The 23,754-nt window shown below is 42.2% G+C and overlaps 2 long non-coding RNA genes across 7 annotated transcripts in view, besides 1 other annotated feature; one reads left to right on the forward strand and one right to left on the reverse strand.

Annotated features, from left to right (window-relative positions):
* MIRLET7A1HG (miRlet-7a-1/let-7f-1/let-7d cluster host gene) overlaps positions 1 to 5,244 on the forward strand; it is a 34,648-nt gene extending 29,404 nt beyond the window's left edge. For all 4 annotated transcript variants that reach the window (NR_170278.1, NR_170276.1, NR_170277.1 and 1 more), the window contains one exon: positions 4,825 to 5,244. This is a non-coding gene — a long non-coding RNA (miRlet-7a-1/let-7f-1/let-7d cluster host gene). The remainder of the gene's footprint in view (positions 1 to 4,824) is intronic.
* Positions 1 to 23,754, reverse strand: part of LINC02603 (long intergenic non-protein coding RNA 2603) — an 82,743-nt gene that overhangs the window by 19,093 nt on the left and 39,896 nt on the right. Inside the window, exons 1-3 of one of the 3 annotated variants that reach the window (NR_046163.1) lie at positions 8,832 to 8,905; positions 5,153 to 5,211; positions 3,537 to 3,590 (exon numbers count right to left, since the gene is read on the reverse strand). This is a non-coding gene — a long non-coding RNA (long intergenic non-protein coding RNA 2603). Of the gene's footprint in view, positions 1 to 3,536; positions 3,591 to 5,152; positions 5,212 to 8,831; positions 8,906 to 23,754 lie in introns of those variants that run through there. The other 2 variants (NR_046165.1, NR_160773.1) reach the window with 2 other exon arrangements.
* Positions 16,738 to 17,300: an enhancer, noted in NCBI's record as "OCT4-NANOG hESC enhancer chr9:96974681-96975243 (GRCh37/hg19 assembly coordinates)". NCBI's record gives its function as "activates a minimal SCP1, AML or CMV promoter by ChIP-STARR-seq in primed H9 embryonic stem cells {active_cell/tissue: H9 hESC(primed)}" and the evidence as "EXISTENCE:reporter gene assay evidence [ECO:0000049][PMID:30033119]".

Raw genomic sequence — 23,754 nt, forward strand, 5'->3', positions numbered from 1 at the left:
CATGTTGTTATTGTTTTATGGGCCCTGTGTGTTTTATGCTTTCAAGAGGTTCTCTTCTGGTGCATATCAACCTTTTATTTCAGGATTTAGAACTCATTTTAGCATTTCTTGTAGGGCTGGCCTGGTAGTGACAAATTCCATCAGCATTTGTTTGTCTGAAAATGACTTTATTCATGTATGAAACTTAGTTTTGCTGGATACAAAATTCTTAGCTGACAGTTATTGTTTAAGGAGGCTAAAGGTAGGACCCCAATCCCTTTTGGATTGTAAAGTTTCTGGTGAGAAGCCTGCAGTTAGTCTGATAGGTTTTCCTTTATAGGTTACCCGGTGCATTTGTCTCACTGCTCTCAGAATTCTTTCTGTCATGTTGACTTTAGATAGACTGATTATTATATATGCCTTGGTGAAGTCCTTTTTGTGATGAATCTCCCAGGAATTTTTTGAGCTTCTTGTATTTGGATATCTATATCTCTAGCAAGGCCAGAGAAGTTTTCCTCAATTATTCCCTCGAATAAAATTTCCAAACTGTTTGCTGTCTTCTCTCTCAGCAACACCAGTTATTCTTAGGTTTGGCCATTTTACATGATCCCATATTTCTTGGAGACTTTATTCACTTCTTTTGATTTTTTTCTTTATTTTTGTCTGATTATTAATTTGAAAACTATATCTTTGAGCTCTGAAACTATTTATTCTACTTGTTCTAGTCTATTGTTAAAACTTTTCCATGCATATTGTACTTCCCTAAATGTGTCTTTCATTTCCAGAAGTTCTGATTGGCTTTTCTTTAAAATATCTATTTCTTTATAAAATTTTTTATTCATATCCTGAAGTTTTAAAAAATTTCTTTATATTGGCTTTCACCTTTCTCTGGTATCTTCTTGAGTAACTTAATAATCAATCTTTTTAATTCTTTGTCTGGCATTTCAGAGATTTCATCTTGGTTTGGATCCATTGCTGGAGAGCTAGTGTGATCTTTTGGGGGTGTAATAGAATCCTGTTTTTTTCATATTACCAGAATTATTTTTCTGTTTTTTTTCTCTCTCTCATTTGGGTAGAATATATCTTCTAATTAGTCTTGAATTTATTTTTTATTCAATTGTTGGTTTTTTTTATTTATCTTTTCTCCCTTAAGGATGTGACTTTATTGTAGCCTATTTCGACTCTTGGTGCTTTCAGAGGTGAAGACTATTAATTCCTTGGTTATAGAAAGTCTTTGTTTGATGGCTTTCTCAGATAATGGTTGTAGTAGCATTGTGCTCACTGTCTCCAATGGGGTTGGAATTGCAGAGGTATCTTGAAGCTTACCTTGTTCTCCTGTGTTGTGCACTTATATTTGTTTATTTTCCCTGTATTTTATTTACTGGGTTGAATATTTTAGGCTTCAGGCCAGTAGGGGAGACATCTCTGGTAGAAACTGGTTGTGGTTATTGTAGTAGGTAAATGCAGTACCCAATGGCGGGCTGAAGTCCCAATCTTGACATAGGTGATAGGTGGAGCTCTCAGTGAAACACACTGAGGTCTTATCAGGGGGTAGATTGGGAGCCACATCAGCTCCCCCGCAAGGCGCAGGGAAGCAGTCCACCTCCCAGACACACTCCTGACTCAGTGTTCCAGCTATGCAGATCAGACAGGCACCTCATTTTGTCTGCAGGAACGTTGATGTTCCAAGTTGAGAGGAATCGTGAGTCTACCTCTCATCCAAGTCTGAACATAGAAGGTGCTCTCTACTGTGGGGATGCAGTTACCCTGAAGTTTTCCAGCAAGGCTCTCTATGGTGTACCCACACATGCTCCCACTGGAAAAGCCCCAGTTGTTTCTGCAGTGGTGGACAAGGGGAAAAAGAAGTCCCCTTCTCCAAGACCCTTCATGAGCACCAGGGTTACCTGTGTGTTGGGGTAGAGCTTCAGACTTTCCCTGCTGAGCTCAGTATTGTAACTGTGCCTCTGCTGAAAGAGACTTTCCATCAGCAGAAAGATCCAGGACTCAAGGCCTGCATCTGGATTTTTTTGTTCCATGGGGTGTTCCCTTGATGTGGTGCACACCCAATTCCCCTAGGAAGTTTTCCCCTAGGAGTAGGATTCCCTAAGAAACAGACCACTGTGAATGCTGCTGCTCTGCTGCGTCTAGCCACCTAGTGGAGCTGCCACACTCCAGGCTGGTGCTGGGGAGTGTCTGCAAGAGATCCAGTGATGTGACCAGTCCTTAATTGTCCCAGCAGCAAGTACCAACACCCCTTCTGATGCGGGTCACAGGGGAGTGATGTAGACTCTGTGAGATTCCTTGGTTGTAAATAGCCTTCATGTATTGGCTGTCTCAAATGCTGCTTGTAGTACCAATGAATCTGTCATGTGGACAGATCAGGACCTCCTGGTTAGCCAGGGTGGTGCAGGCGATGGTGATAGCTGAGGTCATGCACAAGTTTTCTCTTTCCTGGGCACAGGGTTATTCTACCCAACGATGCTATAATGTATCAGTTGGCCTCCAGCCAGGAGGTGGTACTTGCAATAGAGCACCAGCTACAGTAGAAGTGGTGGGATTAACTGCTTTGCTTTATGTTAATTGCCTTATGTTACCCCAGAGAGGTACTCTGGATTCTCAGGCAATGGCCATAGGGCTCCCAAAAGTTGCTGTCCCTTGTAGTGAACTACCAGGGCTGGTGTAGGGGCAAAGCCAGGTAGGGGCTGGGTTAGGCAGGTCCATGCTTTGGCTCTCCATGTGCAGGGCAAGCAGAGGCTCCTGAGGGGTTTAGGGGGCATTTCTCTGGCCACTGGGGTAATGTTTCAGGAAGGAACATAGCTGCCTCTGCCACATAAAAGAGTTCACAAGCCTCACCCAGCTCTCATGCACTTGGCAAGGCAGGTCTCTCACCTATAGTGTTCACTAGCAGCCGCTAGCTAAATTCCAGGCCGTGTAAGCTCAGAACTCAAAACTGCCCTAGGCCATAAGCCTTCCCTGTGGAGACAGGAACCAGTGTTCAGGCCATGCCCCCTCCCAATCTACCTGCAAAGCAAGAGTGCCCGGTTCCTGTGCCTGTGGCTGCAGCACACTTCTTACTCACCCACTGGTTCTGGTCAAGGGAGTTCATCCCCACTCAAGATTATATGAATTTCAGTTGGGAGCTTCTTTCAACCTGCAACCTCTGCCTGAGCTAGTTGACTTCCGTGAGGCCCTCTGTGACGTAGAATCAGGAGTGGCTTCCCTCGGTCTGTGCTGGAGACTAGGAATGCATGCAAGGCTCTGCTTGCTGCTGCTCCTACTTTTATATTACCCCACCACTCCCTATATTAGTTCCAGTGCTGGGTATGGTTAAGGCCTTCCCCTGTGGGCTGAATTGCCAGGTTACCTGGTGGGGATGTATATCCTGGAGGCAGTCTCTCCCCCTGTCACACTCTGAGGACTTACAATTTTTCACCTGGCTCACAGTGGGTGTAGGCTGCAGCCTGCTGCTTCTTTCAAAGGGTCTATGGTTTCTGTTTTTCTGTTCAGTTCCTGCATTGCTTCTTAGAAAAAAGTTCACAGTATGAATTTCTACTCACCATTTTGTCTTTCCAAGTGGGAGAGTCATGCTGACACTGTTTCCAATCCACCATCTTGGGAAGAAAAACAAAACAAAATGTGATTTTTCTTAGCCTATCCACATGGTAGTTTAGATTGATTGATTTTCAAATATTGAAACAGCCATGCATGCCTGTAATAAACCCTACTTGTAATCATTTATTACTTTATTTAAATGTGATCTCTTTTCTTTGAAATATATTTAAAATAGTCTTTGCTAAATCTATTGTTTGGGATTACTCAAAGATGATTTCTGTTGACTTGTTTCCTAAGTAAAGAACACACTGCTGGCCAGGTGCAGTGGCTCATGCCTATAATCCCAGCACTTTGGGAGGCTGAGGCGGGCGGATCATGAGGTCAAGAGATAGAGACCATCCTGGCCAACATGGTGAAACCCTATCTCTACTAAAAATACAAAAATTAGCCGGGCGCCAGCACGCCTGTACTCCCAGCTACTCAGGAGACTGAGGCAGGAGAATTGCTTGAATCCAGGAGGCGGAGGTTGCAGTGAGCCGAGATTGCACCACTGCACTCCAGCCTGGCAACAGAGTGAGACTCTGTCTCAAAAAAAAAAACAAAAAAAAACTGGCATTGTACACATTATGTTATAGGAATGCTACATTGTGATTTGCCCCAAAGGGGGTTGCTGTTTGTATGATACACTTGTCTGGACTAATTCTGTGGAATTTGTCTCCACTACAATGTGAGGCTGCTAATGTCTGCACTCACATTTTTTAAAGAGAGGCTTTCTAGAATTACTCTTGTTTCAGCATATTTTGTCAGCCAAAGATTAGTCAGAGGTTTGGTTCAAACATCTCAAGCCAGTTAGGTCCCCACTCTTTGCTGATAGATCTGTGTATGGTTTGGAGAATGTATTTGCTGTGGTTTGAATATTTGTCTCCTTCAAAACTTGTGTTGAAATATAGTCCTCAATGTAGCAATATTAAGAGGTGGGGCCTTTAAGAGGTGATTGGATTATGAGGGCTTTGTCCTCATGAATGGATTAATCCATTCATAGATTAATGGATTAGTGGGTAAATGGATTAATGGGTTATTTTGGGAGGGGAACTGGTGACTGTATAAGAAGAGGAAAAAAGACCTGTGCAAGCATGTTAGCATGCTCATTCTCCTCCCCATGTGATACCCCATGTTGCCTTGGAACTCTACAGAAAGTCCCTCTGTTAGTCCATTTTGGGGTTGCTATGAAGGAATACTTGAAGGTGGGTAATTTATAAAGAAAAAAGATTTATTTGGTTCATGGTTCTGCAGGATGTACATGAAGCATGGCACCAACAGCTGCTCCTGTGAGGCCTCAAGAAGCTTACAATCGTGGCAGAAGCTGAAGGGGGAGCCAGCGTGTGGCATGGCAAGGGAAGGAGCAAGAGAGAGAGGGAGGAGCTGCCAGGCTCTTGAACAACCAGATCTCACGTGAACTCACAGATTGAAATTCACTCATTACTGTGAGGACACACCAAGCCATTTATGAGGGATGCACCCCTATGACCCAAACACCTCCTACTAGGCCCACCTCCAACATCAGAGGTCACATGAAACGAGATGTATAGGGGACAAAACAGTCAAACCATATCAGTCCCACCAGCAAGAAGGCTCTCACTGGATGTGGTCCCTTGATCTTGGACTTCTCAGCCTCTGTAACTGTAAAAAATAAATTTTGTTTCTTATAAATTATCCGGTTTCGGGTATTTTGTTATAAGTAAAAGATGGACTAAGAAAGCATTCAAAGTTTAGGCTTTCAAATCTTCCCTAGCTCTTATTTCTTTTGAGCCCTTTCAGGCCTTTTCTACCTGTGTGCACAGTCTTGCAGTCATCCAGGAATGTGTGAATAGCTCTAGTTCTCTCCGGCCTCTTCTACACGTGTGTGCAGCTTTCCAATAAGTTTGGGACGTATGGAGAGCCTATCAAGGTTCTCTATGTCTATCTCATTTTTAACATCTCCTTGTTAAATTTCTGGCTAGTCTGCTGGTGCCTTGCTTTCCCCCAACCAGGACTGCAACCCCAGGGTAGCTGAGTCATTGGCCTTTCATATTTGTTTGCTACCTAGATTGCTACTGTTTTTGATAGTGTTGCTGGGTATACCGCTTTTTGCACTCTGCTTCAAGTAAAGTGAGTTCAGTTCCCCCTGGCAGGAGACTGTAGAAATAATTGGCCCAGAGAAAGACATTCAAATACTGACGTTTAAGAGAACCCTAACTAAAAAGCTGGCACATTGCCTGATTACGGGACAAGCAACAGTTCTGAAAGTGTGGTCCATGGACCTCCCAGGGATCCTTAAGATTCTTTTGGGGATCCAAAATATTAAAATTATTTTTATAATATTTCATATCTTATTTACTTTTTTCAGTGTGTTAATTTTTGCACAGATGGTCCAAAAGCAATGATAGGTAACACTGCTGGCCCATTTAGCATGAATCAAAGCAGTAGTACAAAACTATACTAGTAGTCACTTTTTTCTTCACTGCCATACAAAGAATCATTCAAAAGCCACTTTGGTCCAGGTGCAGTGGCTCATGCTTGTAATCACAGCACTTTGAGAGGCCGAGGCAGGCAGGTCACTTGAGGTCAGGAGTTTGAGACCAGCCTGGCCAACATGGTGAAACCCCGTCTCTCTTAAAAATATAAAAATAGCCAGGTGAGGTGGCCAAGATGCCGCCATTGCACTACAGCCTTGGTGACAGAGCAAGACTCTGTCTAAAAAATAAAAATAAAAAGCCACTTTGGCCAGACACAGTGGTTCACACCTGTAATCCCAGTACTTTGGGAATCCTTGGCAGGTGGATCACTTGAGGACAGGAGTTCGAGACCAGCCTGGGCAACATGGTGAAACCCCATCTCTACTAAAAATACAAAAAAATTATCCGGGTGTGGTGGTGCATGCTTGCAGTCTCAGCTACTTGGGAAGCTGAGGTATGAGAATCACGTGAACCCAGGTGGTGGAGGTTGCAGCAAGCTGAGATCGTGCCACTGCACTCCAGCCTGGGTGACAGAGTGAGACTCTGTCTCAAAAAATAAAACAAAAAAAAACAAAAACGGACGGGCACAGTGGCTCACACCTGTAATCCTAGCACTTTGGGAAGCCAAGGTGGGTGGATCACTTGAAGCCAGGAGTTTGAGACTAGCCTGGCCAACGTGAAACCCCATCTCTACTAAAAATACAAAAATTAGCCAGGTGTGGTGGCAGGCACCTGTAATCCCAGCTACTTGGAAGCCTGAGGCAGGAGAATAGCTTGAACCCAAGTGGCAGAGATTGCAGTGAGCTGAAATCACGCCACAGCACAGTGAGACTCTATCTCAAAAAACAAAATCAAAACAACGCCACTTTTACTTAAGAATGTCCTTGCTGAAGTAGTAAATTTATTAATTAAAAAAATTCTCCACCCTTACATACATGAGTTTTTAATATTTTGTGTGACAAAATGGGAAGCATGCATAAAGCATTTGAGCAATTATTTGAGTTTGTGAGCTTTGGTAACTGATTTTTTTTTTTAATGTCTTCCCTCATCATCCAGGCTAGAGTGCAGTGGCATGATGATGGCTCAATACAACCTTGACCTCCTGGGCTCAAGTGATCCTGCCACCTCAGCCTTCCAAGTAACTGGAACTATAGGAGTGTGCCACCATGACTGGTTAATTTTTTTTTTTTTTTTTTTGTAGAGACAGTGTCTCACTATGTTGCCCAGAACTCCTGGGCTTAAGCAATCCTCCTGCCTTGGCCCCCAAAATGCTCAGATTACAGGCATGAGACATGGTGCCCCGCCTGATTTTTTTTTTTATATGTAGGAAAACCATTTTTCTTTGAATTACTGATAGACAAAAATATGAATATTCAGACTTGGATATCTGGCAGGCGTTTTCTCAAAAATTAATAAAATGAGCCTGTCATTCTGATAGCATTTGTTGCCAATGATAAAATTTGAGCTTTCAAGCAAAATTTAGTATTTTGGAAATTTGTATCTGCTTCTCAATATTTAAAGATGTTGCTGATAAGATCAATGATAATGATATTTTTGATATTATATAAAGAATTGTGCTATAATCCTAGCTACTTGGGAGGCTGAGGCAAGAGAATCACTTGAACCCAGGAGGTGGAGGTTGCGGTGAGCCGAGATTGCACCACTGCACTTCAGTCTGGGCAACAGTGTGAGACTCTGTCTCAACCAAAAAAAAAAAAAAAAAAAAAAAAAAGAATTGTGTTAACATTGGAAAGCCCTGCATATCTTAGTGAACCAGTATTTTCCAAATGACCACTGCATGGTGTAACAAAATCATGTATGGGCCCATCTGATAGGGGTTTAACATTTAAAATGTATAAAGTACTCAACTCAATAGCAAGAAAGAAACCCACTTAAAAAATAGGCAAAGGACCTAAAAGGACATTTCTCAAAAGAAGATATACAAATGGCCAACAGGTACATGAAAAAATGTTCAGCATCACTTATCACTGGGGGGAAATGCAAATTAAAACCACAATGAGATATCACCTCACACCTGTTAGAATGGGTATTATCAAAAAGATGAAAGTGCTGAAGAGGATAAGAGGATGTGGAAAAAAGGAAACTCTTATACATTGTTAGCCGGAAGGCAAATTAGCACAGCCATTATGGAAAACAGCAAGCATGGGGGTTCCTCAAAAAACTAAATATAGAACTCGCATAAAACCCAGTAATCCCACTTCTGGGTATATATCCAAAGAAACAAATCAATATGTCAAAGGGATATCTTCACTCCCATGTTCATTATAACATTATTCATAAGAGCCAAGCTATGGAAACAACCCAAGTGTTCATCAACAGATGAATGGATAAAGAAAATGTGATATATATATATGACATATATATGATATATACATCACATTTTCTTTATCCATTTATATATTATTATTTATATATATATATTCCCCAATGGAATACTATTCAGCCTTAGAAAGGCTGTCATTTGTGACACGTGGATGAATCTGGAGGACATTATGCTAAATGAAATAAGGCAGACACAAAAAGGCAAATACCACGTAATCTAACTTATCTGTGGAATCTAATGAAATTGAACTCATAGAGAATAGAATGAAGAGAACTCATACAGAATAGAGAATAGAATGATGGGGGTGGGAGGGAGAGAATGAGGAGTCATTGATCAAAGGGTAGAAAGTTTCATAAAAGGAGGAATAACTTTTGTGATCTATTGCCCAACAGGGTGCCTATAGTCAACAATATGTTAAATATTTCAAAACAACACAGTTGGCTGGGTGCAGTGGCTCACACCTGTAATTCCAGTGAGAGGCGAAGCCAGCTGGACTTCCTGGGTCGAGTGGGGACTTGGAGAACTTTTCTGTCTTACAAGAGGATTGTAAAACACACCAATCAGTGCTCTGTAGTTAGCAAGAGGATTATAAAATGCACCAATCAGCGCTCTGTAAAACGCACCAATCAGCACTCTGTAAAACACACCAATCAGCAGGATCCTAAAAGTAGCCAATTGCAGGGAGGATTGAAAAAAGGGCGCTCTGATAGGACAAAACGGAACATGGGAGGGGACAAATAAGGGAATAAAAGCTGGCTGCCCCCCTCCCCACAGCCAGCAGCGGCAATGCCCTGGGGGTCCGTTTCCGTGGTGTGGAAACTTTGTTCTTTCACTCTTCACAATAAACCTTGCTACAGCTCACTCGTTGGGTCCCTGCTGGTCTTTAAGAGCTGTAACACTCACCGTCAAAGTCTGTGGCTTCATTCTTTAAGTCAGTGAGATCACAAACCCACCAGAAGGAACCAACTCCAGACACACTAGCACTTTGAGAGACCGAGGCAGGAGGATCACCTGATGTCAGGAGTTCGAGACCAGCCTGGCCAACATGCTGAAATCCTATCTCTACTAAAAACATAAAAATTAACTCGGCATGGTGGCACATACCTGTATTCCCAGCTACTACTTGGGAGGTTGAGGCATGAGAATCGCTTGAACAAGGGAGGTGGAGGTTGCAGTGAGCCAAAATTGCACCACTGCACTCCAGCCTGCGTGACAGCAACACTCTGCCTCAAACAAATAAATAAAAAATAACAGTAAATTTCAGATGTCTCTGCACAAAAAAAGATAAAGTGATGATATGTTAATTTGTTTGATTTAATAATCCCATGTTGTATACCTATATTAAAACATCACATTATACCCCATAGATGTATACAATTATGATTTGGCAATTTAAAATATTAATGAATTTTAAAAAGAGCAGCTTTCTGGCCAGGAGCAGTGGCTCATGCCTGTAATCCCAGCACTTTGGGAGGCCGAGGCAGGGGATCACCAGGTCAGGAGCGAGACCATCCTGGCCAACATGGTGAAACCCAGTCTCCACTAAAAATATAAAAAGTACAGAAATTAGCTGGGCGTGGCGGCACGTATTCCCAGCTACTCAGGAGGCTGAGGCAGGAGAATGGCTTGAACTCGGGAGGCGGAGGTTGCAGTGAGCCAAGATCATGCCACTGCATTCCAGCCCGACTACAGAGCTAGACTCTGTCTCAAATAAATAAATAAATAAAAGAGCAGCTTTTCATAAAAATGATTTGCCTATTACCTTTTGAGTAGTCTAATAGTATCATTTGTAAACCAAAACAAAAAACAGAAAACAAAATTAAGTGTGGGTAAAGATATATATTCAATGTGAAAAATAAGTTAATGGATTTAAATGTAACGAGAAAAATGTATTGACTAGTATTCAGATGCCACAGTGCAGTTAACCTTTAAGAAACCAGTATTTATTAAATTTTGGTGTGGTGTCAAAGATGAATATCCATAATTACCTAAAAGGGCTGTTTTAAAATGCCCCCTTTTCCAACTACAAATTTGGATGAGGCTGTCTTGTCATCATATACTTCAACCAAAAATAAATATATATCAGCACAGAATGAAGGCAGAAGCAGATATGAAAATCTACTTCTATTAGGCCAGAGACATTAAAGAGACTTGCAAACACATAAAACAGTGCCACTCTTCTCCCCATTTTTGTTTGGAATAATGTATTTTTTTAAATAAAATATTAACATGCAATAGCTTTATTTTAGCTATTTTATTTTACTCTTTTTTTTTTTTAGACAGGGTCTCCCTCTGTTGCCAAGGCTGGAGTGCTGTGGTGTAATCATAGCTCACTGCAGCCTCTAAGTCCTGGGTTCAAGCCATCATCCCACCTCAGCCTTCCAAGTAGCTGGGACCACAGGCATGCGCCGCCACCACACCTCGCTAATTTTTTAAATTTCATAGAGATGAGGACTCGCTATGTTGGCTAGACTGGTGTCGAACTCCTGGGCTCAAGTGATCCTCCTGCCTCAGCCTTCCAAAGTTCTGGGGTTGCAGGTATGAGCCACCATGCCCAGCTATTTTCGTTATTTAATTTTTTTAAATTTCTAATATGGTAAGTATTTGTAGATTTAGCCCACTTAAACAGAAGCTCTTTATGTCCTGAATAATTTTTAAGTATCTAATGGAGTCCTGAGACCAAAATATTTAGGGACCACTGCTCTGGAGGTCACGATATACATCCTTAACTTATCATCGTCTTTTTTTTTGTTTGTTTGTTTTTGTTTTTTTTTTGATACAGAGTCTTGCTCTCTCTCTCCCAGGCTGGAGTGCAGTGGCATGATCTTGGCTCACTGCAAGCTCCTCCCCTCGGGTTCAAGCGATTATCCTGCCTCAGCCTCCCGAGTAACTGGGACTACAGGCGCCCACCACCACGCCCGGCTAATTTTTTGTGTTTTTAGTAGAGACGGGGTTTCACCGTGTTAGCCAGGATGGTCTCGATCTCCTGACCTCATGATCCGCCCGCCTCGGCCTCCCAAAGTGCTGGGATTACAGGCGTGAGCCACCACGGCCAGCCATCATTGTCTGTTTTTAAGATACTACTTTGTGGGCAATGTAAGAACTTTACAACAGTGTACTTCCAATTGCTACCCTCCCAAACTTTATGCTCTTGTTGTCATATATTTTACTACACTATATGCCAGAATCCCCACGTTATATTGTTATTTTTACTTTAAACAGTTGAGGCACCCAGGGACATGTGTTGTTCAGCACTCCACTTAAGAAAAACTTTGCTGTTCACCTGTGACAAGTGCAGTTGCCTGAGAGCCTCCAGCTGCAGGGCTTTCAGGATCTGCCTCATCTTTAGAACTGAGGACATGATCTCTGTGCCAATGAATGAGCATGGCAGACTTACTAGGGCTTGACCATTTCGGCACAATGCAAGACTCCTCTAAAGGGCTTGCTTTGCTATGAAGCTTCTTACTGAATTGCCTAAGATTTTGTCAGCCCTCCCTGCCAAATTCTGCCTCCTTTTCCACTCTTTTTACAGGTGTTCAGTTTACATCGTGGTCTGAAGCCTTCCCCTGCCAAATTCTGACCCTCGTTTTTAACCTTCCCCTCCTCAATAAACCTCTTGCACTCCTAACTCTATCTTAGCATTTGCTTCCTAGGGGACCCAACTGACATAACAGTCTTCGTTTTTTAGAAAGACTTTATCTGGTGTTTTACAAATTTATTCCTGCAGAATTGAGTTTCTACCTGGTATCATTTCAGCCCTTCAGCCTAATGGATTTCTTTTATCATTCTGTGTAGTTTCAGTCTGCTAGAGACAAAATTGTCTCTAGCAGCTTTTGTCAGTCTGACATTACTTTGCCTTCATTTTTGAAGACTGTTTTCACTGGATACAGAATTGTAAGCTGACAATCTTTGTCTTTCATCATTTCAAAACTGTCATTCCATTGTCTTCCGGCCTCTACTGCTTCTGGTGAAATGTCAGACATTTTTCTTGTACTGTGCCTCTCTGTGCATTATGTCTTTTTTTTTTTTTTTTTTTTTCTGGCTGCTTTCAAGATTTTATCATTGCCTTTGGTTTTTAGCAGGTGATGATAATGGGCCTATATGTGGATTTCTTTGCATTTATCCTGCTTGGGGTTCACAGAGCATCTTGGACTTGTGGGTCGATATATTTGACTGATTTTGGTAAATCTTGGCCATCAAATCTTCAAATATTTATCTGTCCCATGCTTCCTTCTTGTGCTGCAATCACATATGAGTTAAACTCTTCAATTCTGTCTCACGTATCTCAAAGAGATACGTGTAACAGACACTCTGTCACATTTTTTGAAATCAGCTTTATTAGGGAATAATTGACATACAATAAATCACACATATTTAAAATGTACACATCCATGGAATCATCACTGGTCAAGATAGTAAACATATCTATCACCTCCAAAAGTTTCCCCGTACTCCTTTGTACACTTTCTCTCCTAGTCCACTGTTTCCAGACAATGACTTCTCTCTTTCCTTTCCTTGCCTTCCCTTCCCTTTCCCTTTCCCTTCCTTTCCTTTCCTGTCTCCTTTCTTTCTTTCCTTTCCTTTTTCCTTTCTTTCTTTCTTTTCTTTTTTGACAGAGTTTCACTCTTCTTGCCCAGGCTGGAGTGCAATGGCACAATCTTGGCTCACTGCAACCTCCACCTCCCAGGTTCAAGTGACTCTACTGTCTCAGTCTCCTGAGTAGCTGGGATTACAGGCACCTGCCACCATGCCTGGCTAACTTTTGTATTTTTAGTAGAGATGGGGTTGAGACAGGGTTTCACCATGTTAGTCAGGCTGGTCTCGAACTCCTGATCTCAGATGATCCACCCACCTCGGCCTCCCAAAGTGTTGAGATGACAGGTGTAAGTCACCACGCCTGGCCCCCTTCTCTGTTTTATATAACTGTTGATTAGTTGACATTTTCTAGTGTTTTGTATGAATGGAATAATATACACTGGGAAGTCGGGCTTCTTTTACCTATTGGAGTGGCTCAAATTAAAGACTAACCATATTTTGTATGTCAAGGATGTAGAAGATGTTTCCCAGCCTGTACTGAGATGTTTCTATGTTACTGCATGTATCAACAGTCTGTTATTGTTTTTACTTAGTAGTATTCCATTATATGGGTAGAGCACAGTCTATCCATTCACCATTACATGGACATTTGGATTGTTTTCAGTTTGCTGTTACAAACAAAGCTATGAGGAACATTTGTGTACAGGTATTATATAGAGATACATTTCATTTTGGGTAAATACCTAAGAGGAGAATGGCTGGATCATATGGTAATTATATGTTTAACTTATAAAGAAACTGCCTCAGTTTCCCAAAGTGGTTGTACCATTTTCAGTTCTCACCAATTGTATATCAGAGTTCTAGTTCCTCTACGTCCTTGACAACAAAAAATATGGTTAGTTTTTAATTTTAACCATTACAATAGGTGTTTACTGGTATCCCATTGTGGTTTTTATTTGCATTTCCCTAATAAATAATTGTATTGAGCTTTTATACACGTGCTTATTTGCCATCCAAATATCTTATTTGTTAAAATTTTGCTTACATCTTTTGTTTACTTTAAAAATAAGTTGTTAGTATTCTTGTTACTGTTAAACTATATAAAGAGTTCTTTCTATATTTGGGATATAAGTTCTTTATCAGATATCTGCTTTGCAAATATTTCTTTCCAGCCAATGGTTAGCCTTTTTCATTGTCTGCACAGTGTCTTTTGAAAATCAGAAGTTTTAATTTTGATGAAGACTAATTTATCAATTAGTTCTTTTATGGATCATGCTTTTGGTGTTTTATCTAAGAAACCTTTGCCTGGCCAGGCGTGGTAGCTCACGCCTGTAATCCCAGCATTTTGAGAGGCCAAGACTGATGGATCACCTTAGGTCAGAAGTTCCAGACCAGCCTGGCCAACATGGTGAAACGATGTCTCTACTAAAAATACAAAAAATTAGCCGGGCGTGGTGGCAGGCGCCTGTAGTCCCAGCTACTCGGAAGGCTGAGGCAGGAGAATGACGTGAACCTGGGGGAGGCGGAGCTTGCAGTGAGCCAAGATTGCGCCACGGCACTCCAGCCTGGGCGACAGAGCGAGACTCCGTCTCAAAAAAAAACAACAACAACAAAAAAGAAAAACAAGAACCTTTGTCTAACTTAAGGTCACAAAGATTTTCTCCTGTGTTTTGTACGTTTTGTATTGTTGTTTCTTAAACTTTTTATTTTAACATAACTGTAGATTAACATACAGCTGTGAAATAATACAGATAGATCACATATACCCTTTATGCATTTTTTCCAGTAGTAACATCTTGTATAACTGTAAGAACAGTATCACAACTAGGAAATTGACATTGATACAATCCTCCACTATTATTTAGATCTCAAGAGCTTTACATTTGTGTGTGTGTGTAGTTCTGTGTGATTTTGTCATATGTGTGGATTTATGTGACCAGCACCACAGTCAAGATATAAAACAGTTTTATCAGAAGGATCATTTATGCTAACCTTTTCTAGCCACAACTACCTTCCTTCCTTCCCTATCCCTAATCCCTGGTTACAATTAATCTGATATACATCTCCATGATTTTAGTATTTCAACAGTTTTATATAAATGGAATCATGTAGTACGTAACATTTTGTGGTTGGCTTTTTTCTCTTGGCATAATTATCCCCATTTTCCACTAAGCCTCCCCTTTTGTTTAAGCTGGGTAGAGTCTGGTAAACCTCATTGCAACCCCAAGTGTTCTGATTGATAGGGCAACGGGAAAAGCCTCAGGGAAACATTAGGCAGGAAATGGCACTGCCTTCTACAAGAAATGCCTTAGTTTCTTTACTTGCAAAATGGAGATAAAATTATGTGCCCTGTCTGCTTCACAAGTCTCTTGGGAGATTCTTCTGGAATAATGAATGTGAATGAGCTCTGTAAAATGTACATTGGCATGTACCTGTTATTACTAACGATAAAAGTTTTGTTTATTTGTACTGCCTCATTGTCTATGGAACCCAGGTCTTCTCCCCTTTGGTACTTCAACTTTCTGGTTTGGGCCCATCTTTTCTCACCTGGGGCTTTCTATGTGCTAGATAGCCTGACTCGGCACTTTAGGCATCTGTGCTATCCCTATCACAAATATGGTCTATGAATTCCTGACTCCAGCTCTTACTAGCTTTGTAGTGTTGGAGAAATAATATAACATCCCTAAATCTCAGTTTCTTTATTTGTAAACTGGAGATAAAAATAGTATATAACTCCATAAGGGTTGTTGTGAGAAATGCCATGCTTATGGTATGTGCCTGGCACACCGGAAGTTACTTGCCCAAGGCCACATGGTCAGTATACATCAGAGCTTGGCTAGAGTCCAAGTCTGTGATGCCAAAGATATCATTCAGGATCACTGAATTCTGTGGTCTTTCAATAGCTTACTTGAGTTTTCTGCCTCACCTTGGTTACATACTCCACAAGATGCCAAGAGAACTGAGTTACTTAAATAATTAAAAACAAAATAAAACAAAACACCATGCTTTTAAGGTCTCTCCCTTGTCCAAAGACCTTTGTTTGGTTATCAATGCCAGGGACTCTCTCTACCACTCCAGATTAATTATGCTAACATTCAAGCCTCCTAACAGTGCTAGACAAAACTTATGTGTCAAATATGCCTCACTGCTATGTTTAGCCCACGAGTGCCCTGGCTGTGCCTGGAATTCTGAGCACATACAAAGATGGAGAGGGCTATTGATAGATTGGGTGGTAGAGGGCATTTCCCAGGGGGAAAATAATGGGGGTGAAGACCAGGGGACAGGTAAGCATGATGGTGTATATGGGAAAAAGGAAACAGTCCATCTAACAGCATGTTGGGTACACAAAAAGGGGGAGTTGAAGATGAGACTGGAACATTAGCTGGACTGTGTAGGCCATGAGTGTGGGTCTAAGATGCCTACTTCCTGTTTAATAGGCAATTAGGAATCCTCGGACATGATGTCAGAGCTAAGGACATGGCCACCTGTGCCCCTGCAGGACATCTTGGCTCAGTTTTCACTCAGACTGTCTCAGGGTTTCCATAGTTAGTCTGGGGTAGACTCTCAGCACTCCCACCCCATGTCCTTCCCCTCATGGTCTCTGGGAGGCCCAGCCTCACTCACTATCAGAAGAGTGCTATCAGCAGTCTCATACCACTGAGATGCTGCAACCTGAAGACCAGAGAAAGCTTCTGGAATGCAACATGACCACAAGATCTCATTCTCTCCGCTTGTCTACATGGAAATCTCTATGCCTCATAGCTGTAAAATGGAGATAACAGCACCTGCTTTAGAGGAGTGCTATGTGGATTAAGTAAGATAATGTAAGAAGAGTGCATAGCATAGGCACTAATCTGCCCTGGCCTTCCCTCCAGCACATTCCATACACAGACTTGTCCAGTGTGTGGGCATCACCTGAGAAGTAGCCACTCAGTTTATGTCTTTCAGAAAACACAAACAATCCGTGGTCACAGAACAGAGATAACTGGTGATTCAGATTTCCAGTACATTAGAAGGCACCTGCGAAGGTACTTCCCTTCGCCTCCTGGGAGCCATCAGTGAGCTCTCCAGGAGAGCAGTATGATGCAGAGAAAGAAACAAAGGAGATGCAGATAGTCATGTTTCTCCTCATTCACGGGGTGAACTTGGGCAGCACCTCCCTTTCTCTGATCCTCAGTTGCTTTGTTGAAATAGGGTTGATGTGAGGGGCCAGTGAGATAATGCAGGTAAAGTGCTGCATGGTGGCCAGCACTATTAGCTCCTGATGGGGGCTGATTCTCCCACGTGGGTGCCTGTGAGACTCAACTAAGGGGAGGAGCAGTCAGGATGGTCAGAAGCTCCCTTGTTGCTTTCTAGGCCCTTGCTGTGACCCATCCCTCTGGGACTGGCTCTGTTGTAAGGGTAAAGAAGTTCTGTGACATCCATGTGCCATGTCACTTTCCACCTGGTAGCAGAGGCAGGCACATCAGCTCCTTGGCTCTGTGCTGGTTCTGCTGGAAGGTTTTATAAGAGCACACTGTCCAGTAGAAATGTAGTGTGAGCTGCATGTGTAAGTTTAAGTTTTCTGGTAATTACGTTAAAAAGAATAAAAAGCAGGTGAAAATAATTGTAATATATTTATTTTATTTAACCCAATAGAGGTTGAGTATTCCTAATCTGAAAGTCTAAAATTCAAAATGCACCAAAACCCAAAATGGGCATTGACATGATGCTCAAAGGATATGCTCACTGGAGCATTTCAGATTTTGGATATTGGGATTAGGATGCTCAACCAGTAAGTATAATGTTAATGTGTCAAGCCCCCCGCTCCCCACCCCCCGCAAAAAATCAGAAATTTGAAACATTTCTGGTCCCAAGCATAGAAAAGAGATACTCAACCCATATATTCAAAATATTATCATTATAATATGTAATCAATATTAAAACATTAATGAGTTTTTTTATATGAAGTCTTCAAAGTACCATGTGTGTCATAAACACATCATGGAAAATAGTCTTAATTAGGACAAGTCACATTTCAAGAACTCAAATAGCCATTACTATGTGGCGGCTGATAGCTTCCTCATTGGAGAGTTTATGGCTTAGACTCGGCTTCCTGGAAACAGAGCCATGCTGCCATCTGGTGGTTACTTTGTCAAATAACTCCTCAGGCATCCACCCTGGGCTGGCCCCGTCGAGGTCAATGAAGACAGAAGTTACATCCTTCCCGCCCTTCGGTGCCCTCAACCTAGAGTTCAGAGCAAAGGATGCAAAGTCCCGGAAGAGAAGCCTATCTACATGCCCTGAGATTTGAAAGTGAAAAGGCTGTAACATGAGGAAATCTTTCACAGATGTGGAGATGAGAAGGGGAAATCACCAGCTTGGGGTCATGTGATAAATTCGTAGCTGCCCTGAGGTGAGGACAGCCTTGGCCCAGCCACCAGAGTATCGTACCTAGACCGAGGCAATTGCCTAGAAAATATTGGGGATTTTTTCGTTGTTTTTTGTTTGTTTGTTTTTTTACAAAGTAATGAATCCATTCACGTTTCAAAATGCAAAAGCAGAGTTTCCCATCCCCACGAATCCTAACTACCCAGTTCCCCTTTAGTGAGGCATCACAGGTAATGCTGTGATAAGCTTGTACACTTTATTATTATTATTTTGAGACAGAGTCTTAAGGCTGGAGTGCAGTGGCGTTGATAGAGACAGGAGGCAGCCAAGGCACGCCCCCACCCTCGGACCCCCGACACCCACCTTTAAGGCTGAAAAACCAGACTGCCGGTCCAGATGAAGCCCGCCCTTTGCCCTACTGACTCTTTCTGAATACTGCCCACCTGCGAACTGGGAGGACTGGGTGGGGCCTCGGGAAGTTAACACCGTTTGTAGCAGGAGGGGCCTGGCCTCTGCTGTTCCTGTGTGGTAACCTGGGATTCAATCAGTCAGGTGGAGAGCCTGTTAGCAGGACTCCATCTCACTTTACTGAGTTGTTTTTCCTTTCTGCCCAATAAATTCCATTCCCCCTCACCCTTCAAAGTGTCTGTGAGCCTAATCGTTCCTGGTCGTGTGACAAGAACCTGGTTTGTCCTACAACAGCGTGATCACAGCTCACTGCAGCCTCGACCTCCTAAGCTCAAGGGATCCTCCCACCTCAGCCTCCTGGGTAGTTGGGATACAGGCATGAGCCACCACACGTGGCTAATTTTTGGTATTTTATGTAGAGACAGTTTCACCATGTTGCCTAGGCTACTCTCAAACTCCTGGGCTCAAGCAATCTCCCCTCCTTGGCCTCCCAAAATGTTGGGATTACAGGCATGAGCCACCATGCCCAGCCCCACATATTATTTTTACATGTGCAAGTATATCCATAGACTATACGGGTATACTATTCAAGAATAGTTTCTTGAAATGGAGTTGTTGGGCCCAAGGATATGTGCCTATGTAATTTTGATAGATAAAGAATATCTTTTTTAAAAATCAGCTTTTAAAGATACAATCTACATATAAAAATTCACTATTTTAAGTGTACAGTTTGACAAATGTGTATAGTTCTGTAACCACCACCACGATCATGATGTAGAACATTGCCATCACTCCAGGAAGTTCCCTAGTGGTCCTTAGCAGTTAATTTCCCCACTCCCACCTCAGCCTCTGACAACTACTGATCTGGATTCTGCCCTTATAATTATAGTGGCCTTTTCCAGAATATCATAGAAATGCAATAGAATGTAATCTTTTCTGTCTGGATATTTTCACTTTGCATATAGATCATGCAGTTCATCCATATTGTTGCATGTATGATGTATCAAAGTACAGCAGATCCTTGAATAATATTTTGTCGAACATTGTTTTACTATAATGTTGACGAGAAAAAAAAAATCAATTCCCTGCTGAGGCCACTGTCTGTGTGATGTTTGCACATTTTCCCCACGCCTGGATTGATTTTCTCTGAGTATTCCAGATTACTCCCACATCCCCAAAGATGTACACGCTAGGTTAATTGTTACATCTACATGGTCCCAGTGTGAGTGAGCTTGGGTGTATGAGTGTGGCTCAGGATGGGACGGCATCCTGTCTGGAGTTGGCTCCCGCCTTGCACTCTGAGCTGCTGGGATAGGTTCCAGCCACCTGCAACCCTGAACTGGAATAAGCAGGTTGGAAAGTGGATGAATGAGTGAATACAAATTATTGTTAAAAGAATTTCTGTAAAGTATATGATAATCCTACAATGCATGACATCAAAGAAAACAGTCTGAAAGCTCTCAGCAAGCCCTCTGTATTTGTGATTGTTTTTGAACTGCATGGTCGTAGGAGATGCTCCTGATAATTTTTGCTTTGCAAACATTTATTCTTTGATTCAATCCACCACCACTATGAACACTGTCACTTACTGATTCACCAAAAGTTGTGTAAATAATGATCTTACTTGTTTTTATTAATCTTTCTCAAATGTATGTATAGCTCACTTCTATTTCAATGTTTAATATTAGAAGTATTTGAAGTCTTTATTTAGATATTTCATGATGTTTTAATGACAGAAATATGCCATAGGAACTTAACTCTTATATACATCAATTAGCCTATGGTAAAATTGGTTTCATTATATGTCATTTCACTTAAAGTTGTTATTTCCAAGAACCTATTGATGTTAAGTGAGGACTTTCTGCAATACCTTTTTTAAATTGTTAAGTGATATCATATTCTATAGATATATCAGTTTATCTGTTTACCAGGTGATGGACATTTTGTTTCCAGTTTGGGATTTCTATGAATAAAGCTTCTATGAACATTCAAGTATTTTTTTTTCCCCCCGAGACGGAGTTTCGCCCTTTTTACCCAGCCTGGAGTGCAATGGCATAATCTTGGCTTACTGCAACCTCTGCCTCCTGGGTTCAGGCGATTCTCCTGCCTCAGCCTCCCTGGTAGCTGGGATTACAGGCATGCACTACCATGCCTGGCTAATTTTTGCATTTTTAGTAGAAACGGGGTTTCACCATGTTGGTCAGGCTGGTCTGGAACTCCTGACCTCAGGTGATCTGCCCGCCTCAGCCTCCCAAATTGCTGGGATTAAAGGCGTGAGACACTGCGCCCAGCCAAACATTTGTCTTTAAAGTTTCCTTTCTCCTGAGAAAATACCTAGAAGTGGAATTTCTGGGTCAAATGAGAAGTGAATGTTTAGCTTTGTAAGAAACTGCCAGAGGTTCCAAGATGGCCAAATAGGAACAGCTCCAGTCTACAGCTCCTAGTATGAGCGATGCAGAAGATGGGTGATTTCTGCATTTCCAACTGAGGTACTGGGTTCATCTCACTGCGGCTTTTTGGACAGTGGGTGCAGGACAGTGAGTGCAGCCCACGGAGTGTGAGCTGAAGCAGGGTGAGGCGTTGCCTCACCAAGGAAGCACAAGGGGTCAGGGAATTCCCTTTCCTAGCCAAGGGAAGCTGTGACAGACGGCACCTGGAAAAATTGGGACACTCCCACCCTAATACTTTGCTTTTCTAACGGTCTTAGAAAATGGCACACCAGGAGATTATATCCCGCACATGGCTTGGAGGGTCCCACGCCCACAGAGCCTCGCTTACTGCTAGCACAACAGTATGAGATCAAACTGCAAGGCAGCAATGAGGCTTGGGGAGGGGCACCTGCCATTGCTGAGGCTTGAGTAGGTAAACAAAGCGGCCGGGAAGCTCTAACTGGGTGCAGCCCACTGAAGCTCAAGGAGGCCTGCCTGCCTCTGTAGACTCCACCTCTGGGGGCAGGGCATAGCTGAACAAAAAGCAGCAGAAACTTCTGCAGACTTAAAAGTCCCTGTCTGACAGCTTTGAAGAGAGTAGTGGTTCTCCCAGCATGGAGTTTGAGATCTGAGAATGGACAGACTGCCTCCTCAAGTGGGTCCCTGACCCCCGAGTAGTCTAACTGGGAGGAACCTCCCAGTAGGGGTTGACCAACACCTCATACAGTCGGGTGCCCCTCTGAGATGAAGCTTCTAGAGGAACGATCAGACAGCAACATTTGCTGTTCTGCAGTATTTGCTGTTCTGCAGCCTCTGCTGGTGATACCCAGGCAAACAGGGTCTGGAGTGAGCCTCCAGCAAACTCCAACAGACCTGCAGCTGAGGGTCCTGACTGTTAGAAGGAAAACTAACAAACAGAAAGGACATACACACAAAAACCCCATCTGTATGTCACCATCATCAAAGACCAAAGGTAGATAAAACCACAAAGATGGGGAGAAACCAAAGCAGAAAAGCTGAAAATTCAAAAAATTAGAGCACCTCCTCTCCTCCAAAGGAACGCAGTTCCTTGCCAGCAATGGAGCAAAGCTGGATGGAGAATGACTTTGACAAGTTGAGAGAAGAAGGCTTCAGATGATCAGTAATAACAAACTTCTCTGAGCTAAAGGAGGATGTTCGAACCCATCGCAAATAAGTTAAAACCCTTGAAAAAAGATTAGACGAATGGCTAACTAGAATAAACAGTGTAGAGAAGTCCTTAAATGACCTGATGGAGCTGAGAACCATGGCAGGAGAACTATGTGATGCATGCACAAGCTTCAGTAGCCAATTCCATCAACTGGAAGAAAGGGTATCAGTGAATGAAGATCAGATGAATGAAATGAAGCGAGAAGAGAAGTTTAGAGAAAAAAGAGTAAAAAGAAATGAACAAAGCCTCCAAGAAATATGGGACTATGTGAAAAGACCAAATCTATGTCTCATTGGTGTACCTGAAAGTGACGGGGAGAATGGAACAAAGTTGGAAAACGCTCTGCAGGATATTATCCAGGAGAACTTCCCCAATCTAGCAAGGCAGGCCAACATTCAAATTCAGGAAATACAGAGAACTCCACAAAGATACTTCTTGAGAAGAGCAACTCCAAGATACATAATTGTCAGATTCACCAAAGTTTAAATGAAGGAAAAAATGTTAAGGGCAGCCAGAGAGAAAGGTTGGGTTACCCACAAAGGGAAGCCCATCAGACTAACAGCAGATCTCTTGGCAGAAACTCTACAAGCCAGAAGAGAGTGGGGGCCGATATTCAACATTCTTGAAGAAAAGAATTTTCAACCCAGAATTTCATATCCAGCCAAACTAAGCTTCATAAGTGAAGGAGAAATAAAATCCTTTACAGACAAGCAAATGCTGAGAGATTTTGTCACCACCAGGCGTGCCTTACAAGGGCTCCTGAAGGAAGCACTAAACATGAAAAGGAACAACCGGTACCAGCCACTGCAAAAACATGCCAAATTGTAAAGACCATCAATGCTAGGAAGAAACTGCATCAACTAACGAGCAAAATAACCAGCTAACATCATAACGACAGGATCAAATTCACACATAAGAATATTAACCTTAAATGTAAATGGGCTAAATGCTCCAATTAAAAGACACAGACTGGCAAATTGGATAAAGAGTCAAGACCCATCAGTGTGCTATATTCAGGAGACCCATCTCACGTGTGGAGACACACATAGTCTCAAAATAAAGGGATGGAGGAAGATCTACCAAATGGAAAAAAAAAAAAAAAAAAGCAGGGGTTGCAATCCTAGTCTCTGATAAAACAGACTTTAAAACAACAAAGATCTAAAGAGACAGAGAAGGCCATTACATAATGGTAAAGGGATCAATTCAACAAGAAGAGCTAACTAACCTAAACATATATGCACCCAATACAGGAGCACCCAGATTCATAAAGCGAGTCCTTGGAGACCTACAAAGAGACTTAGACTCCCACACAATAATAATGGGAGACTTTAACACCCCACTGTCAACATTAGACAGATCAATGAGACAGAAAGTTAACAAGGATATCCAGGAATTGAACTCAGCTCTGCACCAAGCGGACCTAATAGACATCTACAGAATTCTCCACCCCAA

Source organism: Homo sapiens, chromosome 9 (genome assembly GCF_000001405.40).
Source record: "Homo sapiens chromosome 9, GRCh38.p14 Primary Assembly".
NCBI classification, from domain to species: Eukaryota; Metazoa; Chordata; class Mammalia; order Primates; family Hominidae; genus Homo; species Homo sapiens.